The 14313-nt window shown below is 37.8% G+C and overlaps 1 long non-coding RNA gene across 3 annotated transcripts in view; it reads right to left on the reverse strand.

Annotated features, from left to right (window-relative positions):
- The window catches only part of LOC105376193 (uncharacterized), a 45342-nt gene that overhangs the window by 15921 nt on the left and 15108 nt on the right, over positions 1 to 14313 (reverse strand). The window contains exons 4-5 of one of the 3 annotated variants that reach the window (XR_930195.2): positions 6995 to 7092; positions 6261 to 6422 (exon numbers count right to left, since the gene is read on the reverse strand). This is a non-coding gene — a long non-coding RNA (uncharacterized LOC105376193). Of the gene's footprint in view, positions 1 to 6260; positions 6423 to 6994; positions 7093 to 10665; positions 10759 to 14313 lie in introns of all 3 variants that reach the window. The other 2 variants (XR_930196.2, XR_930194.2) reach the window with 2 other exon arrangements.

The following is a 14313-nucleotide window of genomic DNA, read 5'->3' on the forward strand; positions in this document are numbered from 1 at the left end:
TCCTTGTAAATTCTGGATATTACACTTTCATCAGATGGGTAGATTGCAAAAATTTTCTCCCAATCTGTAGGTTGCCTGTTCACTCTGATGATAGTTTCTTTTGCTGTGCAGAAGGTCTTTAGTTTAATTAGACCCCATTTGTCAATTTGGGCTTTTGTTGCAATTGCTTTTGAAGTTTTTGTCATGAAGTCTTTGCCCATGCCTGTCCTAAATGGTATTGCCTAGGTTTTCTTCTAGAGTTTTTATGCTTTTGGATTTTATATTTAAGTTTGTAATGCATTGTGAGTTAATTTTTGTATAAGGTGTAAGGAAGGGGTCCAGTTTCAGTTTTCCGCATATAACTAGCCAGTTTTCCCAGCACCATTTACTGATTAGGAGATCCTTTCCCCATTACTTGTTTTTATCAGGTTTGTTGAAGATCAGATGGTTGTAGATGTGTGGTGTTATGTCTGAGGTTTCTGCTCTGCCCCATTGGTCTATATGTCTGTTTTGGTACCAGTACCATGCTGTTTTGGTTACTGTAGCCTTGTAGTATAGTTTGAAAGGACAAGTTAAAACTGTTTTCAAACAGTTTGTATTAATTTACACACCCACTAGTAGTGAATGAGAGTTCCCATTGTGTTCTTGCCAACACATAGTATTGTCAATTTATTTTTGCATTTCCGATTAATGTGTGATAACATCCCAAACTTGTATGTTTGCATTTTCATTCCTCTTTTATTCTTTTCATGATGTTCATTAACTTCTGCATTCGCAGAGTTCATGAATTCTTCTGCATTCTTATGCAGAAACAGAGATAACATACAGCCCCTCTCTTTTATTTTAATGCTTTCTCTCAGGGTTAGAAGTGCTTTTATAGATATTATACAAATTTCTTTCAGCTTTATTTTTCATGCCTCCTGTGACACTCATCCTTTACAGGATATTGACATAAGGCTTATAGTGTTCTGTCAATATACAAAATGGCAAGAAGCCACACTGTAAACTCAGAGTTTACCCTTCCTTTGAATTTCTCTTCACAGCTTCTCTGGATAGTTTTCTTTTAGGAGATGCTCTTTCCCACTGGAAAGAAAGAAAGAAAGACCAAGAAACACTCTGCATAAGTGAACACACAGAACGCAAGAAACTAGAACATTATCCGGGAAATATCAACAGCTCTGGTCATTCTTTCACATCTCCAATGGCTCAAGTAGCAACCTGAAAACTTTTCTCCAAGTTTCATGGCCCTTAATGTTTTCTCTTAATATGAAAGTATCTTTCTCACTCCATCCATCCCAAAATTTAATGTATTACAAATGGAAAATTATTTTAATTTGAATTGTGTAATTTTAACAATGAATCATCTTTGTCATTGATATTAAACATATCATACCATCAGCATTTAATCTATTGATAATTGTCTGCAGTACAGTACTGATAAATCCCTCTCAGAAAAGCTGTGACCTAGCATCCCAAATCTAATCTGGAGTTCTGGAATACAGAGCTAGGAATGAGATTGACTGGTATAAGTATAGACTATGTATTATATGTGTCTGGAGGCAAAAAATACCTGAAAGATAGTCTTCAAGGGTAAAGCTTGGGTTAAAAAGTCAAGTGAAGTATAAATCCAAGGATTTATATTTGGCCAGACAAAGGATTGGCTTTGTGGTCTCTTGGATCACTTATTTTGGGAAAAGCCAACTGCTCTGTTGTAAGAACACTCAAAAAAGTTCCATAGAGCAGTCCATGTGATGAGAAACTTGGGCATCCTGACAATAGCCACATGAGTGAACCAACTTAGAAGGGGATGCTCCAGCTCCAAACAAGCCTTCAGATGACTGTAGGACTAATCAATATCTTTACTGACATCTCTTGAAAGACGCTGAGCCAGAACCAACCAGCTAAGTCGTGATTGTATTCCTAACTCACAGAAACTGGGAGATAACAAATATGTTTTATTCTAAGCTACTAAGTTTCAGGATAGTTTTTAAGCAATAATAAATATCTATTTTGCCTCTTTTATTTTTCTTTATTTGTATAGGACTTATTACTACCATAATATATAATTTATTTATTTTGATTATTGTATAACTCCCCATTTCTAAAATATAAATATACGGAGAGATAGATATATGTGAGATAGATTTTATTACTTAGTTTGCAGTAGGAAACCAAGGTCCTTAGCAGCTATGTATTTGCCCTTGGTCACATCACCAAGAAATAACAGAGCTAGATAGAAGTTGATTCCAAATCAGACTAGTATTGTATTTTCTGTTTCTGAAAATAGTGTTTAATGTACATCAGTCCTGAAGATATGGCAGTTGTGTTTTTCTTTGTACAATCACATTCCTTTTTTTTTCAGGTAATATGATGCAAGCACACATAGAAAAGTACCAAGGCAGCTTAAGTTATCACTTATAAGCAGAATGTGAAATGTCACATCTCAAGAAATATCAGGCTGTCTCAGAGGAACACTTTGAAGACAGTAGCCACTCAACTTTCTCACTTACCTTTGCATACTCTGTGAATTTACCTACATGCTAGAGTACAGCTAAGTAAACATTATAAATTTTATTTGGTGCAGGAGAAAGCCCTGGTCATAAGTAATGATTATATCATGCTAAAAGTGTAGTCAAGCATGATGTCTCTTGGATGACTAGCAATGGAAATTATTAATCATTTAATCGAAGAATTCACTGCAGAGAGACTTGTGAACAAAGATCATGCTAATATTGTTCTGAAGGTCTCAATTCATTTTCTCTAATAGAAAAAAGTAAGCCATTATTTATCTTCATAATAAAAACTCATCATATTCCAAGATGTCAATAACAGTGAGATAGAATTTTGCTATAAAATGCTATGAAATCTTCAACCTAGCAGTTTACAACCAAGTATACTTGAAGTGCTCATGGAAAAGATGATTTTCAAGTGGCCAACAGAATGATTACATGTATTAGAAATACTTCTGCAGTGTTCCCAAACTCTATACAGCTGTCCCTGTAGCCATTCTTCAGCCCACCAAGATATCCTGATCTAGCTTCCCAAGAAATCAGATATGCCTCTGATTTGAAAACAACTCCATATACACACAGTACACATATAGCATGGCAAAAAAGGGAGCCTCTGCTTTAAAAAATTTTATATGTGTAATTCGTTCTCAAATTCTATTTCTGACCTAAACTATACTGTAAGAGGCTCCTAACTAGTTTCTAATCACATTATTCTCAAAATGTACCAAGGGCACTGCTGCCAAAATTTGTTTTCAAAAACTCAAATATGACTATGCACAGTTTCTGCTGATAACCCTTCAACAGTTCCTTTTGGCTACAGGATAAAATTCAAGCTCCTAATGTGGCATAAACCCTTCATTATAAATCCCCCTCCTTGTGTTCCAACTGCATCTCTCATTACTCCCTACCTTGCACTGCATGCTCCAACAATTTCAAATAACTTACAGTTTGTATTCCTACAACCCTGTGCATTTTCTCATGCTGTCCCTTCTACCTAGAACAACTTCTAATTATCTCCCCCGACAAGCTAACCCCTGCTTATCCTTTAAGACTCAACTTGAGCATCACACTATTCCCAAATTTTTCCTGAGCTTTCCAGGCCTGATTGTAGCTAAATACAGTTTGCATAGCCATATCACTCTACTTTAGTGATGTGATAACTATTTGTTTAGGCATTTATCTCCCCTACCACAAGTTGATCTCCAAGAGCACATGAGCAATAGATTTTTTCTTTCCTGCCTAGTGTTAGAAGTTTGGGATGTGGCTTTGGTGCTAGAACATTATTATCATTCTGCCTTCCTTCAGGGGTATTCTGCCAAAAGGGCTAAATATAAAAGCAACTATAGCAAAATAGGTAATGAAAAATAAGCTTATTGACCACTAGGTAATTACTGATTCTTACAAATTCAGGGATTCTTCAGTTAGCTCCGCTGATGGGAAAGGGTTAGGCCTTGAAGAATATATGGAACTTCCCTTGATCTGTTTCTCTGAATCCAAAATGGCCACCACTGTGGATGTAGAAGGGACTCACTTTACCTACTTTAATTGCTGTCAGAACACAGAGAGCCAGATAACTGCTGGGCCTGCTGAGGTAAGCCCTGCCAGGTACACTTACCAAATAGATTTAAGGAGTATGAGAAAAGAAGTGGAATTTGAGACTATGTTTTACATATAGTAACCCGACACCCCAGTAAAATGAGTCCCAGTGACTATCTCAGGCTTTGGACAGTTTAGCAATTTCGTATCCTTTAGGAAGGCCCTAGAAAGATGGTTACACAAAGTGACCATGTCTGTTCCCTGCTGCTTCCTCTCCTATAAATTCCTATATCAATTTATACAGTGAAAGTTTCGCATACATCATATCATATCATCTTCCACAAAACTCAGTTGTTAAACATTAATGTCTGTATTTATAGGTAAGAAACTTGAGAATGATAAATGGGAAATAATTAGCATGGCCGTAAAGCTAATGAGCAGCAAAATCAGGACAAGACCCCAGGTCTTCTAAATGCGAAACTATGGTATTTTCAATGCAGTACTTTGCAACAGAGAATGCTGTAAATGCCCATGCATGAGTGATTCTCCACTGGAGTGACAGAAAGACTAAAGATGTTATAAACACCTCTGCAGTGTTCTCAAAATTTATATGACTGTCCTTGTAACCATTCTTGAACCCACTCAGATATCCTGTTCTGGCTACCTAAGGAACTCTGTTATGCCTCTATTTCGAAAACCCCATGTGCGTATAACAAATAGATAGCATGGAAGGAGAGGAATGTAAGTGCAAACAAATAGTCCCTCTAGGCTCTTTATTTATGTATGCATTTATGTCAGGAACCCTAGGTATAGCCTAGTTATTTCAACCTATGATTCAGACAAAATCCTGCCTGCCTGCAGGACTAAAAGATTGGGTCTAAAATGGTGTTTATGTGAGGGACTGTGATTTCCAGAAAAATCTCAGAAGTGGAAAATCTCACTTTCCTTGGTACTGAGATTTCCATAGGGAATCTCATCCAGAGAAAAAAAGGAAGTTCAAACAAGGCTGCAGTTCAAGCAGAAGAAGGTTTGCCAACCTCAGGATTCAACCTTAGAAGAAAACGAGAAGTAGGATGTGAGACTTCTTTCATGTTGTTTATCCTAGCACACCAGAGCATGACAGATGCCAGAAATTCAAAGCAGAGGTTTTGCTGGTAAATAAAATATATATTCGAGGTGAGACTCCCCCTCTTTGGCTGTAGAGATTTGAGTACAGTAAAGATAATATATGATAATAAGTCTTTTCCACAGTTGACAACAACCCCAAAGTCGTCTCACAAAAAAGTTTAAAAATTCAAGTGCGATGGACACAGGGTGGGGAACATCAGACACTGGGGTCTGTCGCGGGGGTGGGATGATGAGGGAGGGATAGCATTAGGAGAAATACCTAATGTAAATGACGAGTTGATGGGTGCAGCAAACCAACATGACACATGTATACCTGTGTATCAAACCTGCACGTTGTGCACACGTATGCTAGAACTTAAAGTATAATTTTTAAAAATTCAAGAGTGAACAGTTTAGAAAATCAGTGAAATGAAATGTTTTGGTATATTTTCACCAAAAACGAGTTCCAATTTTTTAACTGTCACTTGAAAGGAATCATTACATTTAATGTAACATATGTTTTGTAAAACACTTAATTCTGTGATGTACTAGATTAATAGAAAAATAGCAGAAAACTAACTTAATCATCTCCACCTCAGATCTTTGATACTTAGATATATAAGGTCTTCATTCTGACATAAATATATGTTGAAGTACTTCAAAAATGTGTAGACTTGTTAAAAACAATTGTGAACTGACAATCCGCTAACCTAACTATAAGACTTTGCCCCTGGAATCTAGGGCTGTCATCAAATATCCAGCCATTTGCTTGCCAGGATGTGCTGTTTGCTTTGTCTCAACCCACTGATAGAAAATTTGTTATGTTACAGCAAAAAAAAAAAAAAAAAAAAATGTTTAAAATCACAAATTGGTATAAAACAAGTGGAAAACTCTACAAACTAGGGCCATAAGTTATATTAAATTAGCAAATTAAACTAGGAATTAGGGATTACAGAAGAATCAACCAAATAAATTGCCATGGTTCTTTTTTCTTTAGGATCAAATAGCACCTACCTGTCAGGAAATAAACAAGCCAGTGAAAGAATGTATAAAAAGTGGGATAGTCCATGAAGGTAGGGGGTGGAGAGTGAGTTGATGAGTTTGCCAGGGTCATGAAGAAAAGCTTACTTTAAAATTGAGTGTTGTAACTTAGGGCTACTTGTTTCCAGGGCTCCAAAGTTCATTGCTAAAAAGACATGACAGGGTTATACACCATAGTGTTCATCTTGTGGGCTTTTTCCTCTTTTTTCTTAAAAGAACATGGTATCATTTCCTCTTCTCCAGCCCACTCTGAAACAGAAACAAATATTCAAATCTGAATGGCCATTTTTAATAAAGTTTTATAGTTTAAAACTTATATATATAAAGTCTTATAGTTATTTTTTTATCCCTTTTCAGAAACTACTTAAGGTTAGGCCTGAAAGAGAAAAGAGGGGAAGGAAGAGTGGCAACTTATACAAGAGAAGAGGGATTCACAGAAATAATGAGTTAGTCCATGAGATGGAGGATAAAGAAGAAACTTTTACAACAGAGTTTCTCAAACAGGGTTTTCTCAAAACCTAGGATTCCACAAGATGCCACTTAGGGTTCCTTGAGAGATTGTGACTGAAAAGGAATTGAAGTTGGTTTGGGGGAACTTTGTGCTCTGTGGAACACTAGCATTTGTGGAGGTGGACAGTCACCAAGCAGCCTGGTTTGTCTTTTAGCTCTAGGTAGCACTGTCTAGCACTATGTTTACTTGGTTGAGTACATTCTCGTTTTTGACTTAGGATAGGGGAAGCCGATGATAGTTGATGAGCGTGTGATTGCATCAGGGAGAGAAGAACAGGCTTGACAACATCAGCCTCTCCCTCCCAAAATACCTTCTTCAGCCTTCCTCAAAACTGTGTTGGTTAGGTCCGGTGTTGGTTCAGGTGCCAAGACAGAGTTAGTAGTGAAGGAGATTTATTGAGGGAAATGCCTATGAAAGATAAAGGGAAAAAACAACAGATACAGGCAAGAAAACCTTTTATACTGGAATGCTGATTTGACATCTATAATCAGAGAGGGGAAGAGGGGGAATCGAATAGAAAGACTTTAAGATAATAGTGCATTTTGGTGAAAGTTTCAGGCAGTCAAACCAGGAGCACTGTCACAGAAATAGCTCATAAAGAACTCTCTCATTGGATGTAAATGAGACCCTATTACCCTGCCATACCGTCATTCACAGGAGGCTACCTGGGAAGAAAATGGCCTTGATTCAAACATTGCAGTGTGGTGTCCTCACAGCAGATCAAGTTTTTTCTTGAGATATTTGGGCAGTCTACCACCGTGGCTGCCACATCCCACACCTTTTGCTACGCGATGAATCCACTTTCCCATAAACATTTGTTTATGGAAAGGCCAACTAGATCCTTCAGGTTCTAGCTGTCTTCTCCTCCTGAAGCTTAGAAGAAGAAGATTATGGGACAAAGTTCAGCAGTTGGGCTCCTTCCTCCACTATCTATTCTAAATATCCATAATCTGCTTGTCTCAGGGGCTTAACTGATGGTGTGACCCAAACCCATCTTCCTGGAGTAACTGCATCTTTCTAGGGCCAGAGTTACTGTATTTGTCTGCCCACAGTCACAATTAGGGAAGGGAATACTAAAAAAGCACCCATGAAGATCATCTGGCTTCTACAGGTATTCTTCCCTGCTCCACTGTTTAAATAATTTGCAAACTTGGTGCTCATTTCCATATGTCCATCCACACATCTCTTCGCCAGACTTCCTTGACTCTGATCTTCCCATCCCTCTCCTTTCAGGATCCTGAACAGTGAGCCAGTCCATTGGCTACTGCTCACATGTCCGTTTATATTCTCATCTAAGGGCACTTCTTCCACAAAGGAGAATAGCTTGAGTCTTTGCCCACTGGGAATATTTTTCCTCATGACTGTATTTCCAGGCTGCTCCTGAATGTGGCTGTATTGCAGCTACTGCCCATTTTAAGACGATACCAACAAATCAAGCTGACCTATCTATAAGGCAAACTTGAGGTTCTGTATGGTCATAGGTAGAAGCAGAGGGAAGAGCATGGATGTAGTTGTGCTGATGGCATGAGGGTCTGGACTAACTGCTCATGCAGCTTACTGGTAGCCTCTGTTCCTGCTTGGTCTTGACCACAAATGTGCCATTTTCATCCTACACTGGCCTGCTGCTGGGCCTCCTTAACTTTATTGGACTTGTAGGTCTTACAGTATCCAACTAATAATGGACAGTTCTGGATGCACAGTCACTTGGTGCCTCACGGTCAAAGGTTCCATGTCTACAGGGCCCTGCTGGAAATTATTTCTTAAAAGGTATATAATTCTCTGTGAAATACAGCATGTCCTTATTCCGAACTCTAGGGCCCTGAGTTGTGATTCGCCCACTGAAATTTGTCAAAAATCCAACTCACACTGCTGATACCTTCATTACCATAGGTTCTTCTGGATCATATGGCCCAAATGGCAGAGTTGCTTCTACCACAGCCTAGCCATGCTGCAGAGCTCTTTGCTGCTCCAGCTCCATTCAGCATGAGAAGCCTTTCACGATAATTCTCATATGGATTGCTATGGTCTGAATGCTTTCCCAAAAAATTCATTTGTTGAAATCCTAACCTTAAGGTGACAGTGTTATGAAGTGAGGACTTTGGGGAGGTAACTGAGTCACGAGGTTGGAGGCCTTATAAATGGTATCAGTGCCTTTATAAAACAGACCCCAGAGAGCTAGCTAGCCAACCTCTACTATGTGACGACACAGTGAGAAGGTGCCATCTGTGAAGTAGGACATGAACCCTCACCAGACACCAAACCTGCAAGTTCCTTGATCCTGGACTACCTTGACTCCAGAGCTGTGAAAAAATAAATTTCTGTAGTTTAAAGCCAACCAAGTTATAACATTTTGTTAGAGCAGCCCAAACGAGCTAAGACATGAACTGAAGCATTACTCCTCAGTGTGAATTGTGTTTCCACCAGAATTCAAAGAGGCATACTAGGAACTGTGCTTCTTTTTAGCAGTAAGGAATGAAAGAGGTAAAAGTGTCTTTTAACTCTGGAGAGGATGTTCTATAAAAAGCCAGGCCACTGGACCCTTAAACATTTCCAAAGCTACAGGTCTCTGAATCATTGTAGGGTAATATTATCTCCCTCTATCTAAAGTACATAAGTCTTACCAAGGCCTCCAGTATACTAGCCACTTCTTGCTAAGCTTGAATGTGGCTATATTGTATCATGGTCAACATAATGTCATCAATAGAATGAATTAATGTGATATTTTGCAGTATGTTCACAGTCCAAATCTCTTCTAAGTATATTATGACAGACAGCAGAAGAGTAAATATAGTTGTGTAGCAAATCTGTGAATACATTTTCTTGTTCATTGCACATGAATACAAACTTCTTATGATAGAAAATAATTTATTTGCCAAATGAGTGGCTGCATACCATGTTCCTGAGGCCATGATAATCTACTCCAGCAAAAATATTGCATATGTCACAGTAGCCACATCAGGACTAAGACTTGAATAAGCTTGCAGTAGTGTGAAGTCATTCTCTAGAATATATACATTATCTACAGGGACAAGACCTTTTAATTTAATGGTAATTGTGATGGTTAATACTGAGTGTCAACTTGATTGGACTGAAGGATGCAAAGGACTGATCCTGGGTATGTCTGTGAGGGTGTTGCCAAAGGAGATTAACGTCTGAGTCAGTGGGCTGGGAAAGGCAGACCCACCCTTAATCTGGGTGGGCCCCACCTACCATAATCAGTTGCCAGCTGTGGGGCCAGGCTATAAAGCAGGCAGAAAAAAACCTGAAAAGGCTAGACTGGCTTAGCCTCTCAGACTATATCTTTCTCCCATGCTGAATGTTTCCTGCCCATGAACATCGGACTCCAAGTACTTCAGCTTTGGGACTGGGACTGGCTTCCTTGCTCCTCAGTTTGCAGATGGACTATTATGGGACTTTGTGATCATGTGAGTTAATACTCACTAATAAACTCATATATATATATCTTATTAGTTCTGTCCCTCTAGAGAACTCTGACTAATACAGTAATATAATAGGGCCCACCACTCCTACATCCTTAAGGTCTTTAAGAGTAGAGCTAATTCCACCCCTGGAATCCCATATTGTTCTTCATTCACTATATTTTTGGTGAGGAACAGGAGCACTCTGTTTTTACAGGCCAAGAATCTATGGTGAGGGTTATTTTAACTGCCAAGTGTGTCAATTCTAATTATGAATCGAAGAACCTGGGAAGTGATCACTGGGTGGACTGACAGAACCAGTAGTCCTTCTATAAGCCCAACTTTGACCAAGACTCCATTTATAACCTTATCCCTATAGGCTTCTACTCTAACAGGGGCCATGGTAATATTTTGAGACTCCAAGTATCAATGTCAACTCAGGCCCTGCATCCAATAACCTTCAAAGTGTCTGGACATTACTCTGTCCCTGAAACTCAGTCAAGTGAATAAATGGCTACAGGCATAGTTAAGGAAAGACTGAGGAAACCATTACAAACTATACCTTCCATGGTGTTACATGGTCCTTCCTCCAAGGGATTTGACTATGTCTTTAGTCAAAAGGTTCTGGGTCTGAAACTGACTCAAGTGGAGAATACTGGCAAAAGAACAAGACTTAAAATTAAGGTGCCCATCCACAGTCTCTTGCATACGCACACTTACCTCCTTTTGATTGTATATATTAAGCAACACTATTGTTGTCTCCTAATGTATATTACCATTAGGGCTATTATATTCTATTAACCATCTCCAAGCCTCCTTACTGCCCCTCTGAACTTGTGAATCATTATATTAATAGAAATATCCTTGCTGTGTCACATATGTCATCTTCATTATTATTAATAAGCAAAGGTTTTGATCACCTCTCCTACAATTAGCACTTCCACATGCAGAGGAGAGCTACCACTATACTCCTTAGGGATGATCATGCCCATCTCTCTAGTGCATTCTTGAAGGCATTGTTGAATGGTGTTTTTCCTGAAAGTTCCCATTAATTCCTAATGAATTTTCTGGCTTCATATAATATATCTGTTTCAGCATGTCCATTTCCTTGAGTCTTTTAATTCCTTCCAGCATTCTTGGCTTTGCATGCCTCCTACTTACTTACTGGGGAGAAGAACTCCTCTGATATAATAGGCAGTAAGACAGAATTTTTCATTATAAAAAAGGGCATCTCTACGTACTGTAACTCAGCTGTCCTATTGTTGCTTTGCTGTTGTTATAAATGTTGCAAAACATGGATTGTTGCCTTGCATGGATTATATGAGTTAGAAGTAAATTGCCTTATGATTATCAAGTTCTCCTTTTGCAATATTCTCAATTAGTTATTTATTATAACCTTTTGTTTTATACTTTATTCATCTTTATATTTTGCAAGTAACTCTGATGGTCTGATGTAGCAATTTTTGAAGACAAAATGTGCTGAGAAAAAGAAAGATTTTAGACTTATGTTTATGAACAATTATGAACAATTCTCATAATGTTAATGATGAGGAATTAGAATCTTCTGGATTATTTATCTGCACTAGCATATCAAGAGAGCAAAAAATTACGTGTTTACAAGGAAAGCTACTTATCCTTGGGTTTCACATGGTCGGGTAATCCAAGTTGCCACACCCATTCCATGTTGTCTGTGGCAGACAAGTTAGAATGTTGCAATGCCATGAGAAATCTTGAAAAGACACTTAACTGCAAATTACATCCATTTGACAAGGAAGAGTAGTGACTATTTTAAACAGCTATTGGAATTTCAAAACAGAGTGAAGACTTTGTCAAGAAAAGTCACATACAGTCAAAAATCTCAAAAATCAAGTTTCTGAATAAGAAAACATATTGCTTAGAAGAAAAAAGTTACAAAGTTGGTGAGAAACTAAAATACCAGCTTTTAGTGACTAAAACAAGATGCAATAGGACAAATTGAAAATATTTCAGTCTTAAAAAATTGAGTAAGTTAATGTAGTGATGACATATCACATAATATTGAAAAGGCTTTATGTAATGAACTGAAAAGGAAGAGCTTGTCTATGTAGATTGATTAGTGAACATATTTTACCAATAAATGTCATGCTATCATATTTCTAAGATTTGTAAAGGACGGAGAAATTCAAGAATAATTTTGCTACTGCAATAAGTTGCTGAAAGCAACATAAGTCAAGACATATTTAATGTTTTGTCTTCATACTTTGAAAAAAATAAAGGTGTATCTTGAAGAAATTGCATTGGCATCTGTCCTAATGGTATCCCATCAATGGTTGGCTCTATCAGAAGGTCTAGCTCTCTAATTGTTAAAAAAAAAAAAAAAAAAATCCTCACATTTTTCTCAATACACTGCTTTCTTTGCAGGAAGGTGAAGACAAAATGAATTACATTCTAGTTGATGCTACAAAAGTGATTAGCTTTCTTAAACAAACACAAGGCCACTTAAAAATATTGAAAAGACAGTAAAAACCTGGAAAAAGAATGTACACTTTTTCCCTCGATGCAGAAATCTGGTGGTTGACCAAAAGAGAATTCTTAATGTGATGTCTGAGCTAAAAGACCACTTTCCAAACAAAAAAAAATTGTCAGCCAAAAACTTTCACAATAGTACTTTCAAAAAAGTACTTTCTATCTGAAACCACTATGAACACCTAAATGCACGTAAACTAGAAAATCTAGAGGAAATGGATCAATCCCTGGAAACATGCAACCCCCCTACCTTCAATCAGGATGAAATAGAAATCCTGAACAGACCAATAAGAGGCATGAGATAGAATCAGTAATAAAAAATCTCCCAACATAAACAAAAAAATCCCAGGGCCAGATGGATTTACATCAAAATTTTACCAGATATTGAAAGAGGAACTGATACCAATAATACTGAAACTATTCCAAATGACTGAGAAGGAGGGAATCCTCCCTGTCTCATTCTATGATGTGAGTATTACGCTGATATGAAAGCCAGGACAGAACACAACAACAAAAAAGAAAACAATAGACCAATATCCCTTATGAATATACAGGCAAAAATCTTCAACATAATACTAGCAAACCAAATACAACAGAATATCATAGAGATAATTCACCATGATCAAGTGGGTTTTATCCTAGGGATGCAAGAATAGTTCAACATACACAAGTCAGTAAATGATTCACCACATAAACAGAATAAAAAACAAAAATTATCTGATCATTTCAATAAATGCAAAAAAAAAAAAGGATTTTGTAAAATTCTGCATCCCTTCATGAAAAAAGCCCTCAACAAACTGGGCATAGAAAGAACATACCTCACAATAATAAAAGCCATATATGACAAACCCACAGCCAACATCATACTAAACGGGTAAAAGTTAAAAGCATGCCCCTTCAGAACTGGAATAAGACAAGGATACCCGCATTCACCACTTCTATTCTACGTTGTACTAGAAGTCCTAGCCAGAGCAATCAAATAAGAGAAAAAAATAAAGGGCATCCAAATTAGAAAAGAGGGAGTCAAACTATCTCTGGTTGCCACTGATATGACCTTATACCTAGAAAACCTTAAAGACTCCTCCGAAAGACTCCGCTTTGACAAGGATTTGAATTCAGTAAAGTCTCAAGTTACAAAATCAACATACTCAAATCAGTAGCACCAATTCACTAATAACAACCAAGCTGCAAATCAAATCAAGAAGCCAATCTCATTTAGCAAAAGAAAAAAATACATAGGAATATATTTGCAGTAGTCCATCTTGTGTCGCTATAAAGAAATACTTGAGACTGGGTAATTTATAAAGAAAGGAGGTTTGATTAGCTCACAGTTCTGCAGGCTGTACAAGCATGACACCAACATCTACTCACCTTCTGATGAGAGCCTCAGGAAACTTCCAATCATGGCAGAAGGTGAAAAGGAAGCAAATGTATCACATGGTGGGAGCAGTACCAAGAGAGAGAGTGGGAGGGGATATGCCACACACTTAAACAACCAGATCTCTCAAAAACTCATTCATTATCTCCAGATCAGCACCAAGCCAAGAGGGATCCACGCCATGACCGAAACACCTCCCACCATGCCCCACATCCAGCACTGGGAATATCAATTCAACATGAGATTTGGTGGGGACATATATTCAAACCGTATCAGTACTTAATTAAGGAGGGGAAAGATCTCTGCAAGGAGGTCTAGAAAACACTA

The sequence above is a fragment of the Homo sapiens genome, chromosome 9, assembly GCF_000001405.40.
Source record: "Homo sapiens chromosome 9, GRCh38.p14 Primary Assembly".
Lineage (NCBI taxonomy): Eukaryota > Metazoa > Chordata > Mammalia > Primates > Hominidae > Homo > Homo sapiens.